At 45.3% G+C, this 22,519-nt stretch overlaps 1 protein-coding gene across 12 annotated transcripts in view, besides 3 other annotated features; it reads right to left on the bottom strand.

Annotated features, from left to right (window-relative positions):
* Positions 1 to 22,519, bottom strand: part of ANXA2 (annexin A2) — a 50,836-nt gene that overhangs the window by 18,116 nt on the left and 10,201 nt on the right. For 8 of the 12 annotated variants that reach the window (XM_047432407.1, XM_047432405.1, XM_017022092.2 and 5 more), the window contains one exon: positions 20,762 to 20,820. Coding sequence is in view for 4 of the 12 variants with exons in the window: in NM_001002858.3 (NP_001002858.1) it covers positions 17,076 to 17,175; positions 20,762 to 20,820 (159 nt within the window). In the remaining 8 variants the exon portion in view is untranslated. Of the gene's footprint in view, positions 1 to 17,075; positions 17,176 to 20,761; positions 20,821 to 22,519 lie in introns of all 12 variants that reach the window. The other 4 variants (NM_004039.3, NM_001136015.3, NM_001002857.2 and 1 more) reach the window with 1 other exon arrangement.
* Positions 1,936 to 2,584: an enhancer, noted in NCBI's record as "NANOG-H3K27ac hESC enhancer chr15:60659401-60660049 (GRCh37/hg19 assembly coordinates)". NCBI's record gives its function as "activates a minimal SCP1, AML or CMV promoter by ChIP-STARR-seq in naive H9 embryonic stem cells {active_cell/tissue: H9 hESC(naive)}" and the evidence as "EXISTENCE:reporter gene assay evidence [ECO:0000049][PMID:30033119]".
* Positions 2,585 to 3,232: an enhancer, noted in NCBI's record as "OCT4-NANOG-H3K27ac hESC enhancer chr15:60660050-60660697 (GRCh37/hg19 assembly coordinates)". NCBI's record gives its function as "activates a minimal SCP1, AML or CMV promoter by ChIP-STARR-seq in naive H9 embryonic stem cells {active_cell/tissue: H9 hESC(naive)}" and the evidence as "EXISTENCE:reporter gene assay evidence [ECO:0000049][PMID:30033119]".
* Positions 5,806 to 7,005: an enhancer, noted in NCBI's record as "P300/CBP strongly-dependent group 1 enhancer chr15:60663271-60664470 (GRCh37/hg19 assembly coordinates)". NCBI's record gives its function as "activates an origin of replication core promoter dependent on BRD2, BRD4, P300/CBP, MED14 and CDK7 cofactors, with strong dependence on P300/CBP, by STARR-seq in HCT116 cells {active_cell/tissue: HCT116}" and the evidence as "EXISTENCE:reporter gene assay evidence [ECO:0000049][PMID:35650434]".

Here is a 22,519-nt window from a genome sequence, read left to right on the forward strand (position 1 = left end):
ATTGGAACATGTGTATTTACAAAGATAAGCAATGCCTTCTGGTGTCTGCAAGTTTCCAATTTCATATCAGAAATACTCCTAACATGCCATTTAACTTAAGAAAGCACAGTTTGTAAATTCAGAATGTGAAAAGTCTCTCTCCTGACTGATTAATAACTTTGTTTAATGAAAGAAACAGTCTTTGCCATAACTGGATAGGTAACTCTTGGGTGAGAGAGTAGAGTTGCTAAACCTACAAAGTCACTTGCAAACTACAAATGGCTTGGCCTGAAGAAAATCAGAGGAGTCCTGAAGAAACAGAAAGGTCAAAACTGTAACGCTTGAGACAAAGACAAACAGCAGATTGACAGAGGAAGTATTTTGAATTCTCAAGTGTGTTAGATCAAAAAGTATAAAGTTAGAATTTCTGGGTATAAAAATAAATAACTTTTTAAAATGTATATGCTCATTTCAAAGCAAGTCCATACCAATATGCTTGCTATCTTAACTGTAGCATCTATAACTTTAGCTCTCATTTTTAGAGTAGCCAAGGTAAACATAGAAATCCAATTGCTGCTGAGTCTCCCTCTCCCTCTCCCTCTCCCCCTCCCCCTCCCCCTCCCTCTCCCTCCACGGTCTCCCTCTGATGCCGAGCCAAAGCTGGACGGTACTGCTGCCATCTCGGCTCACTGCAACCTCCCTGCCTGATTCTCCTGCCTCAGCCTGCCGAGTGCCTGCGATTGCAGGCGCGCGCCGCCACGCCTGACTGGTTTTCGTTTTTTTTTGGTGGAGACGGGGTTTCGCTGTGTTGGCCGGGCTGGTCTCCAGCTCCTAACCGCGAGTGATCCGCCAGCCTCGGCCTCCCGAGGTGCTGGGATTGCAGATGGAGTCTCGTTCACTCAGTGCTCAATGGTGCCCAGGCTGGAGTGCAGTGGCGTGATCTCGGCTCGCTACAACCACCTCCCAGCCGCCTGCCTTGGCCTCCCAAAGAGCCCAGATTGCAGCCTCTGCCCGGCCGCCACCCCGTCTGGGAAGTGAGGAGCGTCTCTGCCTGGCCGCCCATCGTCTGGGATATGAGGAGCCCCTCTGCCTGGCTGCCCAGTCTGGAAAGTGAGGAGCGCCTCTTCCCCGCCGCCATCCCATCTAGGAAGTGAGGAGCATCTCTGCGCGGCCGCCCATCGTCTGAGATGTGGGGAGCACCTCTGCCCCACCGCCCTGTCTGGGATGTGAGGAGCGCCTCTGCCCGGCCGCGACCCTGTCTGGGAGATGAGGAGCGTCTCTGCCCGGCCGCTCCGTCTGAGAAGTGAGGAAACCCTCTGCCTGGCAACCGCCCCGTCTGAGAAGTGAGGAGCCCCTCCGTCCGGCAACCACCCCGTCTGGGAAGTGAGGAGCGTCTCCGCCCGGCAGCCACCCCGTCCGGGAGGGAGGTGGGGGGGGTCAGCCCCCCGCCCGGCCAGCCGCCCCGTCCGGGAGGTGAGGGGCTCCTCTGCCCGGCCGCCCCTACTGGGAAGTGAGGAGCCCCTCTGCCCGGCCAGCCGCCCCGTCCGGGAGGGAGGCGGGGGGGGGGGGGGTCGGCCAGCCGCCCCGTCCGGGAGGGAGGTGGGGGGGTCAGCCCCCCGCCCGGCCGGCCGCCCCGTCCGGGAGGTGAGGGGCGCCTCTGCCCGGCCGCCCCTACTGGGAAGTGAGGACCCCTCTGCCCGGCCAGCCGCCCCGTCCGGGAGGGAGGTGGGGGGGTCAGCCCCCCGCCCGGCCAGCCGCCCAGTCCGGGAGGGAGGTGGGGGGTCAGCCCCCCGCCCGGCCAGCCGCCCCGTCCGGGAGGGGGGAGGGGGGATCAGCCCCCCGCCTGGCCAGCCGCCCCATCCGGGAGGGAGGTGGGGGGGTCAGCCCCCCGCCCGGCCAGCCGCCCCGTCCGGGAGGGGGGAGGGGGGGTCAGCCCCCCGTCCGGCCAGCCGCCCCGTCCGGGAGGGAGGTGGGGGGGGTCAGCCCCCCGCCCGGCCAGCCGCCCCGTCCGGGAGGGAGGTGGGGGGATCAGCCCCCCGCCCGGCCAGCCGCCCCGTCCGGGAGGTGAGGGGCGCCTCTGCCCGGCCGCCCCTACTGGAAAGTGAGGAGCCCCTCTGCCCGGCCAGCCGCCCGGTCCGGGAGGGAGGCGGGGGGGGGTCGGCCAGCCGCCCCGTCCGGGAGGGAGGTGGGGGGGGGGGTCAGCCCCCCTTCCGGCCGGCCGCCCCGTCCGGGAGGTGAGGGGCGCCTCTGCCCGGCCGCCCCTACTAGGAAGTGAGGACCCCTCTGCCCGGCCAGCCGCCCCGTCCGGGAGGGAGGTGGGGGGGACAGCCCCCCGCCCGGCCAGCCGCCCTATCCAGGAGGTGAGGGGCGCCTCTGCCCGGCCGCCCCTACTGGGAAGTGAGGAGCCGCTCTGCCTGGCCAGCCGCCCCGTCCGGGAGGGTGGTGGGGGGTCAGCCCCCGCCCGGCCAGCCGCCCCATCCGGGAGGTGAGGGGCGCTTCTGCCCGGCCGCCCCTACTGGGAAGTGAGGAGCCCCTCTGCCTGGCCACGACCCCGTCTGGGAGGTGTGCCCAGCGGCTCATTGGGGATGGGCCATGATGACAATGGCAGTTTTGTGGAATAGAAAGGCGGGAAGGGTGGGGAAAAAATTGAGAAATCGGATGGTTGCCGGGTCTGTGTGGATAGAAGTAGACATGGGAGACTTTTCATTTTGTTCTGTACTAAGAAAAATTCTTCTGCCTTGGGATCCTGTTGATCTGTGACCTTATCCCCAACCCTGTGCTCTCTGAAACATGTGCTGCGTCCACTCAGGGTTAAATGGATTAAGGGCGGTGCAAGATGTGCTTTGTTAAACAGATGCTTGAAGGCAGCATGCTCGTTAAGAGTCATCACCACTCCCTAATCTTAAGTACCCAGGGACACAAACACTGCGGGAGGCCGCAGGGTCCTCTGCCTAGGAAAACCAGAGACCTTTGTTCACTTGTTTATCTGCTGACCTTCCCTCCACTATTGTCCTATGACCCTGCCAAATCCCCCTCTGCGAGAAACACCCAAGAATGATCAATAAAAAAAAAAAATAAAATAAAATAAAATAAAATAAAAATAAATCCAATTGCTGGATATGAGATTCAGCTTCAAAGATGCTTATTTCAGCATTGTATACAATATTGAAAAGTAAAGTAGAAAAAACACCTGTGTCCAATAAGAGGCTGATTAAATGTTCTTTTTTCCATGTAATGGGATACTATGCAGTCATTTAAAATGATGGCATGGAAGTATTAATTAATGTTGGAAAATATCCACAATAAAGGTACTGTTAAGTAAAAAAAAAAAAAGGTTGCAAAGCAGTATGCTCTGTATACTCTCATTTTTGTAAAATGTGTATGCACGTATAAGAAAATACCTAGAAGTCTCTATATCAAAATTTTAATAGTGATCATGTGAGTGATGGGATTATGTATAATCTTTCTTTTGATTATCTGTACTTTCAAAGTTCACCATAATGACCATAAATGGGTTTTTTTTAATACCCGGTGAGTGGCAGGCAGTCATTGCTCCAGAATCGACTAGTGACTTCACTTCAAGAGAGTCCCTGTATAACTCTAAATACTTCAGTTAGAAAACACAGTATGCATGGTAATTAGGAATTACATCTATATAATTCTCTTCAGTTTCCAAACATCGTAAGACAAGCTATGTTATTTAATCCTCATAACAACCAAGAGGGGATAGCTATTTCTCTTTCTATTTCATAAGTGGAGGCTCTAAAGCTCAGAGGGACTGCAGCCCATCCCTGTATGTGTTATGTGTGTAAACATTTGTCCTACTGGGGTCTCAGCTTCTATATCTGCACAAGAAGGGGGCTTGAACAATGACCCCCCACTTCTGCTTCCACAAAACACTAATGGATATAATTAAGCTTTAACTTATATTTTGTTTCATTTAGGAACGGGCAGAAGAGATTGATTCAAAGACTCTAAAATACCCACAAAGTGGACGTGTGCCTGGGCTGCTGTGCATTCATGCCTACCCACACATGCGTGTTCGCTTGCTCGTTTGCTCCCTTGCTCTGTCTCTCAAAATTCTATGGCTCTAGGTTTCTATTAGGAAAACCACTTGTTTATTAACGTGTTTTGCCTTGTACTTAATTTTATTACCCACAACTGAAAATACTGAAGAACCATCACAAAATACAATTCTATCCTCTAACCTCAATTCTAATACTTCCAGAAGTCAACCTAGGGGCCGCTGGCCTGAAGGCATACCAAGAACAGTGACCCATAAAAAAGTATTCTCTCTTAAAAACAAATGCAAAGTCTGTGTTTGGGTCAGAATGTGGTTCTTGGCCCCACCTGCATTAAAATCACGTGAAGCACTTATTAAAAACACAGTCCCTTAGGCTGCACCTGAGAACTACTAAGGAAGGCTCTGTAGAACTTGGGACCGAGGAAGCAGCACTTCAACAAACTCCCTAGTAATTCCTTATTTGAGAATCACCAACAGAAATGGATAACCATGGTGGGAAATGGAAATGTCTCTAGAAATCTACCTATCTAAAAGACTTCTATGTCACTTCTACCAACTGCTTTTGTGAGGTACAGGATCGACTACAATTTTAGGAAAAGAAGTGCTTACTTTTGTCCAAACAACCCAGGTAAGAAGTAACATCTAAAGAGTTCACTCCACAAGCCGCAATGCAGTCCCACACTCTTAGCCAACGACACAGCTTTTTGCCCTTCTTTCCATAGCAGCTAAGTGTCCAGCCAGCACTGATAGAATTTAATCCAATTATCGGAGATCCCCATAAAGAGCCTGGGTGGTTAACGTGAATCTTACCTAGGAGGCAGCAACAACCATAGTCTAAAGGAATCAAAATGTATTTTACCTAAATTATTTACCAAGCAAACAGCCAGCTGAGATGCAGTATCTAACATGCTGGGACTTTACAAGTGAACAGCCGTAATGCATTGCACAAGTGCTAATGCCACTAACTACAAAGAAATGAAATGGAGGCTGTTTCTGCCAGCAGAAGATTCCCCTCCTACCGCCCTGCCCAAGAACCTCACCTGCATCAGCTATTTCTCCCATACCACTGTCTGCATGTTTCAAATTGAACTGGAAAGAGGAAAAAATCATGGAGCCAGGATCAACTGCCTAGTCAAAGCCACTTAAGTCATGTCCTATATTGTAATACCAAATACATGCATCTGCAAATGGGATTGAACCATCTTATCTTTAGAACACTGCTGCTTCCTCTTGCCCTGCTATTGTAATTGGTGAGGCCATTTATTCCTGTGAAAAATTGTTCAGTACAGGTTGAGGTTGCAAGGGTCATCCGGTTACTCACCATTTCTACCCAGGATGCAACTGAAGGACTCGGACGGAACCTCGAATACCTATGTCAGCACAATCATCATCAACAATGCACAACCAGTGCCAGGACACCAGAAAAGCTCTAAATTGAATATAGTGCCAGAGGCCCAGGAGATGGGGCTCTGCCTCCCTTGATTTATACTCTCTGACCTCTCGTGTTCCAGTGCTTAAGGAAGTGTTTGCTGGGCGGAAGGGCACAGGGTCTAAAGAAACTGTGTGGGTGGGGCGAGGGCATAAAGAAGAAACAGAAAACCTGAATATCACTTTCTTTTCCATCCTCTTCCTCGTGTGTCTGATATGAGTGATCACAAAGTCATCTAAGCAAAGGCTCTCCCCAAAGAAGAGTGATGTGGATAGGGTGACCCCACAGAATATGGGTGAGAACATGAATTCTGTGATCCAGGCAGATTTTTTACAATTTTTTTTCAAAACTAACAGAAGTTACAGTTTTCCAACATTGGTGAGGAACCAAGACACAAATGTATTTGGCTCCTGATAAGAAACAGCACAAGGAAATCTTTAAGCATTTACTCGTTGAACGAAAATAGCCAACTAATCTAATTAGCTAACTACAACAATATTTTCAACACCTGGATCGTGGGCACCCCCAGAGGTCAGTCACTGTTCCAAATGCCAGTCAGTCCGAAGCAATAGCTTTGCCAAGGGAATGCCACGGGGAGGTGTTGCTGACAGCAAGGTGCCAGTAGAAACCTGGGGGTCATGGGTCCCATAAATCATTCACCATATTTTTCAAGCACAGAGAATATTTGCAGTTTAAAATGATGGCTGGATCCAAAACCACAAAATCAGCCTCCTGGAGTTTCCTCCTCCTCTCTGCGGGTGGAAACCCCAAGTCAGCTCAAGCGCCTGGCATTCCATGGAAAATGTGTGTCTTTATTGTCCATGGCAAGGCACCAACAGCCGTTCTGAACAGGATGCTGACTCACATCTGCCGAGACACACTGACTGCACAAAGAAAATGGATTTCATTTGTGTTTGATGAAGGTCTCGGGAGAGTGGGGGTTGACTTGGAAAACAAAGGAAAACTGTCCAGATCCTCTCCTTACCTAGATTATGGGGAAGACCACGACTTGACTTGACTAAGATTACTGAGCATACCAGTATCAAAGCTGAGAAGAAATCATCTTTACTAAAAGAAGGTCAGAGGCATGCCACAAAGAGAGGACAATGCCACAGAGTTATGGGTGTGTACACGTGGACGTAGTTCATTTATTATAATAATAGTAACCTTTTGCCGGGCGCGGTGGCTCACGCCTATAATCCCAGCACTTTGGGAGGCCAAGGTGGGCGGACCACGAGGTCAGGAGTTTGAGATCAGCCTCACTAACACGGAGAAACCCCATCTCTACTAAAAATACAAAATTAGCCAGGCTTGGTGGCACATGCGTGTAATCCCAGCTACTCGGGAGGCTGAGGCTGGAGAATCACTTGAACCTGGGAGACAGAGGTTGAGGTGAGCCAAGATTGAGCCATTGCACTCCAGCCTGGGCAACAAGAGCGAAACTCTATCTCAAAATAATAATAATAATAATAGTAACCTTTTACTGAGTACCTACTATGTTACAGGCATTTTTATCAGATGCCCATATTCTATCACGTACTTCTCACCACACCCATCTGAGGTGGGTGCCATTGTCATCCCGGTTGTACTAATGAGGAAACCAATGCTCATAGAAGGCAGAGACTCACTCAAGGTCACACAAGCAAGACACTTGCAGGGCTGAGATTCAAACCGGGACTAAAGACCCTGGCTCACTGCACTAGGCAACTCTGCCTCCTGTGATAGAAAATTATGCAAAACTTGAAAATAAAGCAAGAGGAAGACAGCATATCCTCCAGGTATGTGCTGGAGCACTATCTCACAGGCCCAAAGACTCCTGCTCAAGGGGCCTGCTCTTACCTGACGTGCTACTTACTACTGATTTGGGCATACACTCTGTGGGGTTACATGTTAACTTGTAGATTTTGGTCCAGTAGAAAAGATAACCCCAAAGGTTGTGGCTTCACTACCCTATAGGACATTAATGGTCTTGTATTCAGCTCAACAATCTTTCCTTTTTTTTTTTTTTTTTTTTAAACAGGGTCTCACTCTGTTGACCAGGCTGGAGTACAGTGGTACAACCATGGCTCACTGTAGCCTCGACCTCCTGGGCCCAAATGATCCTCCTGCCTCAACCTCCTGAGTAGCTGGAAGCACAGGCACTCACCACCAACACCCAGCTAATTATTAAAAATATTTTTAGGGATGAGGTCTCCCTTTGTTGCCCAGGCCCTCCCAAAGTGCTGGGATTACAGACAAGAGCCACCACACCCAGCCTGGCCCAACAATCTCATTCCAACATTCTTTTCTCAACACTTACCAACATCCAGTATCTCAAATTCCCTCTGAACCAGCCTTACCTCAGTGCATTAAAAGTTTAGTATATGTTTATCCTATGAGTCAAGTTTGTACCTTTTTAAAATTATACTTTGATACTTTTTCATACCACACTCCACCATCTAGCTCCTACAAAGGATATGGTACAATAATGTGTCAACACGTGTAGAGAACTGGGCTGAAATTTTTACATACAAATGCACTTACATTTGGTAATCTGTAGATAATGATTTGCCACCTGGTAATAATGCATGGCCACTAAAGGGATAACCCAGTTGAGGTTTTCTTCAGCAGAAAGAGCTAGAAGACTCTCTTCTGAGGAGAGACATGAATAACTCAGCAAAGGGAGGAAGTCCTTCCAAACAAGCCTGTTAGGCCAGCCAGTCATCCATCTAGTGAGAGAGATTTTTAGGGAGAGAAAAGCTCCCCTCTAGCCATAGGACTACCCAAAAGCACCTTCAGCCAGGGTGCTGGCTGGCCCGGAACCCCTGCTGTAAAAGTTGCCCCTCTGGGTCATCCAGCACAAGCGAGCACTGTGTCTCCAGAGCGTCTCTCATCAAGACAGGACACCCAGCAGGCTGACAGATGCCAGGGGAGGCCTCTGGATAAGTAGCAGCCACAATATAGTGCTTTGGAAACTCCATGGGACTCAGACCTGTGAGATCCTGGGGCACATTAGTTCTCTTCCTAGGCCTAGGTATCTCACCCCTATAGAACAGAGATAATGATAATACTTATTTTACCAGGATGCAGAAAAGACTGGCTGAGTTAACGACTAGAAACACATCTACTGCCTTCATTCAGCTTCTCTGTCACAAGCCTGGCCCCTGCCTGCATTTGAATTTCTGCCTGTGAAATATGGGGCAAAGAAAGATAGAGAACATTTTTGCCATTGGCACACATGGATGAGTAGTCCAGTTACATGACAAACTCTGGCAGCTGCCAAGAGATGGGAGAGAAAGTAGGCATTGCACAGGGTGAAATGAGGCAGGGGAGTTGGGTGCCTCTCCCAAGCCTGGCACAGCTGGGGCACACAGTCTCAACTCGGGGAAAGTGTAGTTTAGCTAAGTGCCTAAGAAGTGGTTTTGGTCCAAAAATCAGATTTCTTCTATTTCCATTCTGCTTTGATCTCACTTCAGCTGAGTTCCTTAGAAAGGATTTAAGGTATCATCGACTTGGTAATCTCACCGGCTGCTTTAATAATCTAGAACCTTGTCTGCCTTCCATGCAGAATTATATTTCTGAAACAAGCTACAAGACCAGCAGGAAAACACAAAGTACACCACTGCTCAAGATTCAAATCAAATCGTCAGTGAAGGAACATGCATAAAATGCAAGCCCTGTATTGTGCTCTGCTACTCCGTCAGCCTCATGGGACAGAAAATTAAAAAATGTGAACAGATGCGAGAGAAACCAACGCAGCCACCCTTAACTCACTTGATATTGGAGAATTTTCTTGGCATTGCTGACACCAGATTAGAATCTGGTTACTGCCATTGTCCCTGGGTGAAACTGGTATTTGGATTTCCTCAGGGAAAAGAGCTAACTGTTTTTTAAAAAAAGAAAGAGCTGAAGAGAGGCAGGTGATGAAAGCTGATGCTTACAATTAGAAAGGCACCAAGGACTCCTTTTCCAGTGTTTGATAGCTACGTGGCTCAGGTCTGGCACCTACATAGATACATAGACAAATATCACTACAAAGAAAATCTGTGCTGGCAGAGTCACAGGGTGGCTGTGACTCAGCACTGGCCTCTTTGTTCCCAGCACTGCTGTAAGATGAGAAGTCAGTCTAAAGTAAACTTGAACACAGAGAGAAAGGCCTCAGCAACTGGGAAGGGTCCGTTCCCTCCCGTTCCCTTCCAGGAGGGTGAGAAGGCCCTGGGCTACGTGAGTCACAGAAGAGCTCACACTCAGACCTGCTCTTGTTGGTTTAGCTCCTCACTTGCAGCCCTCCGTTAGAGGAGAGAGGCTACTTTTCCCAGCCAGTCTGCCTCTTGGCGCCCTCAAGAGAATATATTTCTAATTGTTCTGCTCAGCCAAATGAATATACCTGGCGTGCAGGTGAAACCAAAAATATCCATCCTGGCTTGTTCTGCAGTGGCATGGGATGTTAGTCTTTTGGCCACAGAAATCTTAAGCAGTTCTATTTTAAAAGTATAAGAAAAAAATAAGTGCAAAACTTCGTGCAGTTATGCTTCTATACTTGCGCTTCTGAGAAAGGGGGGAGAAAAATCACCCACTTTTGCATCCCTTCCGGAGAACACAAATACTGCTAAAATCAAAACTGGCAATAATAATAGGGTAATTCATTACCCTCCCCTTCCAGAGAGAGACCAAAGCTGTACCAGTTTATTGGCACTTACACTAACTCTGGGGTTGTGCTGCTGCTAATTACAGTCTATTTTCTGGAGTCTCGATTCATCCTTTTCTAATTTAGCTGACTCTCCTTTCTAGTTATTTGGACCCATATGGTAAACCATTCACAGCTGTGTTGTACACGCCATCGTATATATTTAACCCAAGGCCAATCTAAACCAAGAGACTCCTACAGATTAAGTCTCAGCAACCTCTTGTTAATTAAGCAGTATTACTACTTTTGCATGACTGTACTCAGTTTCTAACCAGACATAAATTAAGGTAAGTCGTTGCATAGTCTACCTCAGGACGGAGCATACATAAAACAATCCTGCATTTGGTTTAGGCAGCACAGGCAAAAAATACTGAGATCCCTTCAAACTAGAAACAAAGCAGACTTATTTTGATTTTAGCAGTATTGTGCTTCTCCCCCCTTCTCATAAGCACAATAAACGAGTATGTAGAGTATGATGAGAACACAGACCAAGAAATAGCTGGTTCTGCCTTCTCAGAGAAAGCTTGTTGATGCTGTGCACTGGCCCAGGCTGAGAGGTAAATGGGAACTGCGCAGATGTTTGAGGTGGGGAGGAAGGAGGCTACACGCTCCTCAAAGAACAAAGGCAGAGGCATGCTCTGTAGAGGGCCGTGAACAGAGCCAGAGACGAGGCTAGAAAGATACTCTGTAAAGGCTGAAGCAGGGAGGTCCCTTAGAAGACAGATGCCATAGGCCAGGCGCAGTGGCTCACACCCGTAATCCCAGCACTTTGGGAGGCTGAGGCAGGCGGATCACCTGAGGTCAGGAGCTCAAGACCAGCCTGACCAACATGGAGAAACACCATCTCTACTAAAAATGCAAAAAAAAATTAGCCGGGCATGGTGGCACATGCCTGTAATCCCAGCTACTCGGGAGGCTGAGGTAGGAGAATCGCTTGAACCCGGGAGGCGAGGTTGCAGTGAGCCGACATTGTGCATTGCACTCCAGCCTGGGCAACAAGAGCAAAACTCTGTCTCAAAAAAAAAAAAAGAAGACGACGACGACAGATGCCATAACAGCTCACAGGAGAGGGGTGACAAGAGTTAGGGGAAGGGGTGAATAAGAGCTGCCTCCCAAGCACTGGAAAGTGAGCCAGGACAGGTATTTTTGGTTTTGTCTGCACACCTGGAGGTATATTCATTCAGTTGAGCACAGCAATTAGGAATATATTCTCTCGAGGGTGCCAGGAGGCAGACTGGCTGGGAAAAGTAGCCTCTCTCCTCTAACAGAGGGCTGCAAGTGAGGAGCTTTAGCTCACACCAAGAAGAGCAGGTGTGACTGACAGTTCGTCTGTGAGAACAGCCTTCGTGACTCCTGCAGCCATGCCCTGGCCATGGCAAGCAGTGCCCCCAAACAGGTCTCTGACCAGCTCTACCCTCCTCGCCATCATCCCACTCCAGGCCTGCTCCTGTGCACCATCCGTGTACTCGACAGCAGCTGATTAAGCCTCCTCCAAGGTGGCCTGCTCCCAGCTCTTCTTCCTGAGAGCACACAGACCACAGGGAAATCAATGGAACATTACATGGAGTGGGTAGCGTCCCGGCACACTCACACACACGTGTGTACACACGGCTACCCCCGTCTAGGAGAGAAAGAGGGCCAGTCATCGTCACATGGTCCTCTGGCTTTTGTTTCTATCAATACTTGAGGTTTATACCGTGTCCTTTGATGTCAAGGAAACACCAACTACTTAGTATTGTCTCTTCCCGATGAAGGGTTAGAGGTGGGAGTGGGGCCAAGGTGTGGTGTAAGCTTCTTAATTACACTTAAGGCAAAAGGCATTCTAAAAAAAGAAGGTAAGATCTTAATTAGCTCATTTTTAAGTGGTTTTAGTTATCCAGTATCTAATAATATCAAGGAGAAGGAGGAAGGAACAAAAGGGTTGTTATCCTTTCCAACTAATGACTTCATTTTTGTTTTTAATTAAGTTTACTGCCTTCCACTATGAAAGTAATACAAGTCATCATAGAAAATTTGCAAAATACAGAAATACAGAATATACTGAAAGCCCAAGAAAGGAAAAGGAGCAATTGCCCACAATTCCATATACAGGCATACCTCGGAGATACTACTGGTTCGGTTCCAGACCATCACAATAAAGCAAATATAGCAATAATGCAAGTCACACAATTTGGTTTCCCAATGCATATAAAAGTGTGATTATATTATATTAAGTGTGTAATAGCATTATGTCTAAAAAACACATAACTAAATTTAAAAAATACTTTTATTTCTAAAAAATGCTGGCACAGAGACAAAGTGAATAGCATTGCCACAAATCTTCAATTTGTAAAAACCATAATATCTACACAGTGCAGTAAAGGAAGGACCATGAAGTGACGTACGTCTGTTTCCATTGCTAATGCCTTTTATTTTTTCTTTTTTGATTAAAAGAAATCATAGGCCAGGCCTATGATTTCACACCTGTAATCCCAGCACTTTCGGAGGCCAAGACAGGTGGATCACATGAGGTCAGGAGTGCGAGACGAGCCTGGCCAACATGGTTAAACCCTGTCTCTACTAAAAATACAAAAATTAGCCAGGTGTGGTGGTGCATGCCTGTGGTCCCAGCTACTCAAGAGGCTGAAACAGGAGAATTGCTTGAACCCAGGAGGGTTCTGCCAGGAGGCAGAGGTTGCAGTGAGTCAAGATCATGCCACTGCACCCCAGCCTGGGCAACAGAGTGAGACTCCGCCTCAAAAAGAAAAAAAAAATGGTTGTGGTTGTGATCACATAGCATATACCATCCCATTTCTATTTCTTGATGCAACTGACACATTTAAGGTGAATGGATGTTAAAATGAGTGTTAGGGAAGTTACTGTGGTGATGACTGCACAACTCTGCAAATACACTACTAAACACACTGAAATGTACACTTTATATAGGCAAATCGTATGGCAGATTAACTGTATCTCAATAAAGATGTTGAAAATTATTGACAAACTTTATTTTTCCTATCTACATTCTGCAGACATTCTATGTAATACAGAGAGTTACACATTATCTATGTAATATAGTTTTACTTATTTACTTAATGATTATAAGGAAGTATACCTCAAGACATACTTCCCAACTAAAAGATTTATCTGGTCTTTCACTACCATAACCAATGCTAATATTAGCACTGAGCTCTTACGAATATCATATTCTTTCTTCGCAATAGTTCCTAAAAGGATTTAGGGTTTTAATAATGCCAACAATCTAGAAATTATTTTAAAGGACCAATGGACTTGCAAAACCTACTTACTCTCTAAAATCACTAAGCATCAAAAATAAGTAGGCTGGGTGCGGTGTCTCATACCTGTAATCCCAGCACTTTGGGAGGCTGAGGTCAGCGGATCACTTGAGGCCAGGAGTTCGAGAGCAGCCTGGCCAAGATGGCAAAACCCCGTCTCTACTAAAAATACAAAAATTAGCCAGGCATGGTGGCACACGCCTATAGTCCCAACTACTTGGGAGGCTGAGGCATGAGAATAGCTTGAACCCAGGAAGCAGAGGTTGCAGTGAGCCGAGATTGTGCCACTGCACTCCAGCCTGGTGACACAGCAAGACTCTGTCTTACAATATATATATAAATAAGTAAATAAATAAATAGGCCAGGCGCGGTGGCTCACGGCTATAATCCCAGCACTTTGGGAGGCCAAAGCGGGTGGATCACGAGGTCAGGAGTTCAAGACCAGCCTGCCCAAGATGGTGAAACCCCGTCTCTACTAAAAATACAAAAATTAACCAGGTGTGGTGGCGCACACCTGTAATCCCAGCTACTCGGGAGGCTGAGGCAGAGAACTGCTTGAACCCAGGAGGCAGAGGTTGCAGTGAGCCAAGATCACACCACTGCACTCCAGCCTGGGTGACACAGCGAAACTCCATCTCAAAAAAATAAATGAATAAAAATAAAATAAATAAAAAGTGGACCTAAGTGAAACTCACTGAACATTAAGTCTGGGGGAAAAAAAAGGAGATGGAGAATCTAAAGCTAGACCACAAATATGAGACTTAACAGAAGTCAGTAAGACCACAGATGAACAATGTTTTTCATATCTGAAAATAATTCAAGGCAATGAAAAAAATCCAAGGCAATGAAAAAAATCCATTCCTCACAGGTGAGTGCTACAACATTATGGTGCCTAAGAACACAGGCCTAGGGGTGGACAGAGGTGTGTTCAAATCCCAGTTTGATCCAAGGCCAAAAGACCTCAGGCATACTAATCCTGACTTGTATCATCCAAGACCTGGGGATGACAGAACACTACATCAGAGGTTACTTTGAAGTTCATCTAAGATGAATGTTCCTGAAGTGCCTGGTGCAGTATCTGCCCACAACGAGCATTTTATAAATAGTTGCAATGATGATAATGTCAGCTGCTTTTGATCAAACTGGAATGTCGGAATCTAAATCTTAGCCCTCCAGACGTTTCTGTCTAAAAACTACAGTATTTTTCTACTAACTCCAAAAGGCCTGAAGGTATTTTTATTACCATGAGAGTTTCAGCTGTGACCAGAGTTCATTTGCGCAATCTTTACATTCCAGTGCACTAAGTGCTTTCTCACGCAGGGACAAAAGAAGTCTTTGTCCCATGCTTGTGAAAAGCACCATCTTTGCTAGATGAGTTAACTGCTAAACTTAGGGCTGCTGCAATGACATGCTGGGAAACCACATGAATCTAGGCACATCCAAATAGTGAAATAGGATGGGTTTTAGGAAAGCAAACCACATGGATGTGTATGTGCATGTGTGTGTGCATGTGCTTGTACGTGTGTGTGTTTTAAGGTAACATATTTTGAGTACCATCTATATGCCAGGCATCGTGCTAAATGCTTCATACTTTACAACAATCCCGTGAGGTGGGAACTTTGATTAGCACCCCTTTATAGGCAAGGAAACTCAGTCTTAGCAAAGTTCCGTGTTTTCCCCAAGTCGGGTGGCTAATGAGTGAGTTGTGGAGCCAGCATTTGAACCTGGGCTCACATACGCTCTCATCCACTATGCTCCACTGACTGGAACTGGCTGTAGTGAAATAAGCCCTGCAGATTTTAGTTTAATTTTCTGAGTAGTAACTTTTGGCAAGAATGGTCATTTAAATGCACCAAAAAAAAAAAAAAAAGAAAAAAGATTGGGCTGGGTGCGACGGCTCATACCTGTACTCCCAGCACTTTGGGAGGCCAAGGCGGGCGGATCACCAGAGGTGAGGGAGTTCGAGACCAGGCTGACCAACATGGAGAAACCCTGTCTCTACTAAAAACAGAAAATTAGCTGGGCATGGTGGTGTGTGCCTGTAATCCCAGCTATTAGGGAGGCTGAGGCAGAAGAATCACTTGAGCCCGGGAGGTGGAGGTTGCAGTGAGCTGAGATGATGCCCTTGCACTCCAGCCTGGGCAACAAGAGTGAAACTCCATCTCAAAAAAAAAAAAAAAAAAAAAGATTTTTTTTTTAAAGGTCTAATTTGGATGCTTCATTATTCTGCCCTCAGCTGTGCAGACAGTCATCTGGGGGGTGGTCCACAGCAACTGCAGAACATAAGGCTTCCCCAAGGCAGATGATGCAAATAAATCCTCACATCTTGTTAGAACCATAGAACGTTAAGCGGGTTTTTCTACTCTACTTCCTGTCTCTGGAAACAAGGTCACCAGATTCTACATGGTTTTAGGAAAGGTGACCATGTAATGTATCCTCCAAAATAAGACAGTTCTGAGAGTGAAAGGTGCACTATTAGTAAATACGCAGGCATAAACCAGGACGTCATCCTAGTTATAGGTTCCCAGGTCAGCCTGGTTGAGGTTTCTCAGTCTTTCAACGAACCGTATGTGAACTATATAAGTGTGTCAGTAAGTTAAAACGCTGTACATAGAAGAGAAAAATGTGACATGGCTCTTCACCAGGGGCACGAACCAGCAGCAGCTCTAATTGTGCTGGGTCACGTCTGCATCCCAATCTGGCCTCATGGTGAAAGGAAGTGCTTTATCCAAGGGGGGAAAAGTGGAGAATCACAAAAGTCACCACGAGAGCTGCAATATTTTTCAGGGATTCAGGGGATGGGACAACCCCAAGGATTGCTTAATTAATATAAGCCCAGAAAGTCTGAACATCCTATTTTGTAGACCCAGAAAACAATATAATGACCATAAGAAGCTCTTGCTCAACCCTAACCAGTTAGCACTTTATTTGCTTTATTTCAAGAGGAAGGCTTTTACGCCTCCTGGTCTTCTCTTACTCATCCTAGAACTTGAGGAAATACACTCATTCTGACAGCTCTTCTAATTCCAGCTCCAGGCCTAAGGAGCAGCAGAACTTACCGGGGTTTAAAAAAAACAAAAAAAGTCTGAATTTTTCACTCTCTAGATCAATCTAAGAGCAATGCAGTAAGATTTTCCCAGCAAATGTAATTAAATTAAAGGGGACTTGGAACAAAAAATGCCCTTAGGGACCACTATGACCAACTTCTTCCTTGCAGAAGAGGGACTGAAGCCTCAAAGTGAAGAGCTGCACCCAAAAGCATACCCCTAGGACCAGATCCGGCTCCCAGACTGATTCCTTTTAACCATTACTTGGTTAAAATACTATCTCATGCTGTACATCTCTCCAAAGAGAAGAAACGGGGGGTGGGGGAGGAAAGAATGGAAGGGAGGGAGGAAAGGAAAGAAGGGAGGGGAGGGAGGGAGGGAGGGAGGAAGGAAGGAAGAGCAGGAAGAAGGGAGAAAGAGAAAGAGGGAGAGAAGGAAGAAAGGGAGAAGGGAGGGAAGGAGAAAAGGAAAAAGAAAGAAAGGAAGGAGGGAAGGAAGGAAAGGAGGCATGGGTTGAGCTAGGTCTGGATCTACTCCATTAAAGCTCGATGACAATTTCAAATCGCCAACGTATGGCGATTTGAGGGAGAATAAAGAGACAACCAAAAATGTCTCAGTAAGACCCTGACAAGAAGAGGACAAATGTATCACCTACCTTTGGTCTTGATGGCTGTTTCAATGTTCAAAGCATCCCGCTCAGCATCAAAGTTAGTATAGGCTTTGACAGACCCATATGCACTTGGGGGTGTAGAGTGCTGAGGTTAAAAGATAAACATACTCAAATGACACACATTTAAAATCCTCTTGTTGAAATAACAATGCCTAATATGTTTTCCTATTGTTTCTTTTAACAATTCAGATCATTCTCATACTAGGTAACTAGGTAGGTATTAACACACCATCACACTTCACGCAAGCAATTTCATTTTTTCTAATAAGAATTCTTCAAAGGCTCAGCTAGTTTAGAATATGCTGTCTCAATTTCAACTTCTCATCTTACTTTTAGTGAGAGATCAAAAGTAGACAATGCAAAGCTGGAGACCTGAAGCCAGCATTTACTCAGGATGGCTCTGAAGACCATTAAACTGGGCTGGCAACAATTCGAAATAAGCTGAAAATGTGGAAATGCCTCAAGGACAAGGGTGTTTAGCTAAGTTTCTGCTACAGGTACATGAATTTCTACTGGGCCAGTGTTGCTGAGCTTACAATTCAGATAAATGAGGGAAGCAGCTTCTCCCACCTCTTTACTTTGGTCACCACTGTGGCACCAAGGTGGTCTGGCCAGACGGCCCACATCCTCCTTGTGTTTCCCCCCCTCTCCTCTGTATCCTTCCCTCTGCCTTTATTAATACCATCCCTTGTGCCTACCACCCTCCACTCTTCCTAAGATTTCTTATTGCCTTCTAAACCATACCCTCTTCCTTTCCCAATGCTTTTCTTTTCTTTTCTTTCTTTTCTTAGGTAGGGTCTCACTCTGTTGCCCATGCTGGAATGCAATGGTGTGATCATGGCTCAGTGCAGCCTCAACCTCCTGGGCTCAGATGATCCTCCCACATCAGCCTCCTGAGTATCTGGGATTACAGGCACCTGCCACCACACCGGGCTAATTTTTTCATATTTTTTGTAGAGACAGGATTTCGCCGTGTTGCCCAGGCTGCTCTTGAACTCCTGGGCTCTAGTGATCCTCCCATCTTGGCCTCCCAAAGTGCTGGGATTACAGGCGTGGTGGCTCACGCCCAGCCTTTCAGTGCTTTTCAAAGCTCATTATCCTTCCTGATCTGACAGATGGGAATCTCCCATTCCAGATTGAGGTAAGGACAATGGAGTGCTTCTACGTCAGTTCTCCTTTCAAGGTATTAACTTCCCTCCTTCTTTGAAATGCTCTTATAGTTTTCCCTCTCCCTGCTACCCAGTCCCAAAGCTAAGGGCAGACAAAGAGGATGTACATTGTGGTTGTGGTTGGCTGATGGCTGGTGGAGGCAGCATCACTGCCCATCCTCATCATCAAGGCTCCCATCCTGCAACCCACCCCAACCCCCCCAGCACATAATGCCCGTATAATGTGATGACTTGGCCTTGGCGCAGTTTCTGTGAAGAGTGAAAAGGCCAAGATCCGTGAGTTACTTCTCCACCCACAGGCATCACATTATAAACCACCCAGCACCCACGCCATTCCATTTTATTAGCACTGAGACTGTATAGGTGAGCATCTAAGATGCCTTCCTATATCTAGATGACTCCCAGGAGAGGCCAGAAATCTAAGTTCAGCATTTGACAAATGTTTCCAAACGCACTTGTGAGGACTATCTTGGCCAAATATTAAATCCAGTTCATATTTATAACCTGACATGCAATGCATTATCAAAGTATGTTCCATCTAATTTCACCACTTAAACTTTCCAGTAAGATGAACTTGATGACATGGAGCACACATTCAGGAAAAAGGCAAAGTGCTATTTTGAAATACTCAGTGTGTTTGCTATGGTAGCTATAAAATGTGGATGAAATCTAAGGAAAAACATTTTCCCATTTATTAAGAGTGCCATCGGTTATTTACAAGGCAGGCAGTCCAGGCATTGAGCCATATCATGTATGACTGCATTTACCAGGAGATATGTCGTCTTGTTCCAAAAACAACAGTGAGGGGGAAAAGTTTTGTGTCATTTTATAGTGTCTCTGGAAATGAAATTAAATCGAGAATTGAACCTATTACCTATAAAATCCACTTGTCTGAAATGAAATTAGTGAGACAAAGTTATCTTTTCTTTCCTTAAAATAATGGGGAACATGTGACATTTTCTATTTCTGCCCCACCTCTCCACACATAAGAAATATACTAGAGTAACTTCAGAGGCTACACAAAAAGCCCTCTTATAAAACCTGATAGCAAATACAATCTAAGTCCATTAGAGAAACAAATTATTTAGCACCTGAATTTGTCTGACTTCAACATGCAGTTTGTATTGTTCCCAAAAACAGCATGCACACGTTTCAAGAAGAAAAAAGATTTTAAAAAAACTCTATAGGCTTTATACTCCATACAACCTGTGCTTTCACAGGCTCCATTAATTTGAACATTTTGATGGCAAGTACCATGAACAATACAGAGGGTCTTGCACCATGTGACCCAAGTCACTGTCAACCCTCTGTTGAGTGATTCATTGCATTTTAATTTCAATCAAAGAATATTTTGAAAGATCTGTCGGATATGGCTACAAACCAGTATCAGTGCTGAGTCTGCGTAAAAGCCATTTCTGCCAGGATGACCTGGAAGATGTATAGTACCATTAGCTATTTTACATATTCATAATTTATATTCCACTTGATTCTAAAAGTATTTGAAATAATTTTAACTTCACATATAGCTTAAATTTTTTATTTGTAAAAAAAAGAAACAAATGCAACAGAATTTCTAGGTTCACATATTTCCTATGAAAGAAAATTCAGTTTAGTTCTAAATTCCCTAATAGCCACAGAAAAAAAGGAAACAGATGAATTACAATAATTTCATTATATTCTTGGTTTTTTAAAAGAAATATCCTAGCTTTTTTAGAGAAAATATTTTCCAGGTGTGAAATTTTTTAAAGTATAGGTCCTCGAGCCAGGCATGGTGGCTCCCACCTGTAATCCCAGCACTTTGGGAGGCCAAGGCAGGCAGATCACGAAGTCAAGAGATCAAAACCATCCTGGCCAACATGGTGAAACCCAGTCTCAACTAAAAATACAAAAATTAGCTGGGTGTAGTGGTGCACACCTGTAGTCCCAGCTACTGGGGAGGCTGAGGCAGGAGAATTGCTTGAACCCAGGAGGTGGAGGTTGCAGTGAGCCGAGATCACGCCACTGCACTCCAGCCTGGCAACAGAGTGAGACTCCATCTCAAAAAATGAATAAATTAATAAATAAAATAAAAGTATAAGTCTTCATCTGGAATAACTTCCTGGACACTGTAAGAAATCCAAAAGATGCAGAATTAGTTTTGATATGGCTGTGGCTTATGCCAACCAGTAATAAAATCCCAGGACATGACATTAAAAGTCATGTACCATCATAACAGTTATTACCAATGACATGCTAAGTATGGCAGAATAAAATTCCAGCCATTCCAGTGTCACTAATTCTGTCCAATTTTAATGTGAGGCCAAGAAAAGTTTCCAGTGCCATGATATTTCCTTCAAATTGAACTACTAGGAACAGCTGAAGTATTAAGAAAGAGGAGAACCAAATGATGACTGTCTGAATTGTCCCCATCTTCCTTAGATGTACAAGGATAGAGAGTAATATGGTTATCCAGAGAGATGTCCAACTTGCAAAAATTATATAAAGTGAAAGTGATATACTTACATCACCCTCCAAGCTGAGCTTGCACAGGATTTCGTGAACAGTAGACATTTTGAAGGAAGCTGGAAAAAAAGTACAACAAAAAGTCTTTATGAAGAGGCTCTCCTTTACTCTGAAGCACAGCGATTCATTATGCTAATTTCTACTCCTTGGACCATTTCATCTGACGATATTGGAGTAGTTTTTGCAAACAGATGCAATTCCCATCTTACGACTGTAAAAACTAAACCTCAGAGATGGTCTGCCTTGGGTTGGGATGGACTACTAAACTAGCCAGTCTTTCTCTTCCTCTGTGTAAACAGAACCTGGGGAGACTGATGTGTGAATGCAAAAACAAAATGTTCCCCATGGCTAATGCAACCTGTTCAGACAGGATAAAACTGAGTCTTCTACTTCTCATAAAAGGTGATGGGCTTGCCGAACCAGCCACTACTTCTGTATTTCTCACAAGTAATTAAACATATTGAGAAGGACCTGAAAGCTACGATGTGAATCGAAATTAGTAGCATTTTCATGTTGCCCTAATTCTTAATTGGAATCTTTATTATTACCCATAATTACTTTCTTAGTCCAATGATACTTGGAAGATATTAAAGTATTTATGAGAAAGACGATGGACAGATTTTCTGACCTTAACTCATTCCATAAAGGACTGAATCTGTTGTATTTAAGATTTGAAATGGTTGAAATGAAGTCATCTTCCAGTTAATATACTTAATGGGGCAGCAAAACAATAGCCTGATGAATTGGCTTTCCACCTTTGCAATCATACAGTTCTCGGAATTGATACACCCAATCCCTGCCAATAAGGAGTGCTCAATTGGTGGTAAATTTATCTCAACAGAGACAAGACAGGTCATCAACATAATCACCCCAAGAATAAAGAAAACAGAGTAGAGCTGCGTCCTGAAATAGACAGGAACGACATTTAAATTGCAGTGACTCCTGCTTTGGTCTCTTTTTGCTTAATATTCTTTGATCAAGGAAACTGCACACATGCAAATACAGCTTTCTATTCTCTTCACTTTGTTTAGTCTAAATATTTTCATAAAACTGGTTTGGCGAGAGTATGTGACATAGATATTTGCTAACTTATAGGAACATTTTGGACTAAGCAGATCCCAGGCCTGGTGTGGGAAGAAAGTGGGGAAATGTAAGAGGAGAGGATTCGCCTTTAGTTGTGGTGAAGGATGTATTTTTGCAAGATTCTCATCCTGGGCTCTCCCCCAGACCACTACTCTCTTCTTGATGCTCACAGAAGCTTTTTATGCACAGCGAAAAGTCAGTCAAAGACCTTCCACTTCCCCCACACTCACAACTCTCAGACAGCCTCCCCACCCCAATTTGTCCCACCGTTGGGGTATAATTCTGGTTTGTAAAAAGTATTGCTCTAGAAATAAACTGTGGTACATTCAGACATGGAATATTATTCAGCACTGAAAAGAAATGAGCCATCAAGCCATGAAAAGACACAGAGGAACCTAAATTGCACATTGCTGAGTGAAAGAAGCCAACTGAAAAGGTAATACAGTGTATAGTTCCAACTTCATACCATTCTGGAAAAGGCAAAATTATGGGGACAGCAAAAAGATCAGGGATTCAGGGGAGGGGATTATTAAGGCAATGAAATGATTCTATCTGATATTGTAATGGTGGATGCATCTATGTACAACACCAACAGTGAATGCTAATGTAAACGATGGACTTTGAGTGGTAACGATGTGTCAATGTAGGTTCATCAGTTCTAACAAATGTACCACC

This window comes from Homo sapiens, chromosome 15, assembly GCF_000001405.40.
Source record: "Homo sapiens chromosome 15, GRCh38.p14 Primary Assembly".
Lineage (NCBI taxonomy): Eukaryota > Metazoa > Chordata > Mammalia > Primates > Hominidae > Homo > Homo sapiens.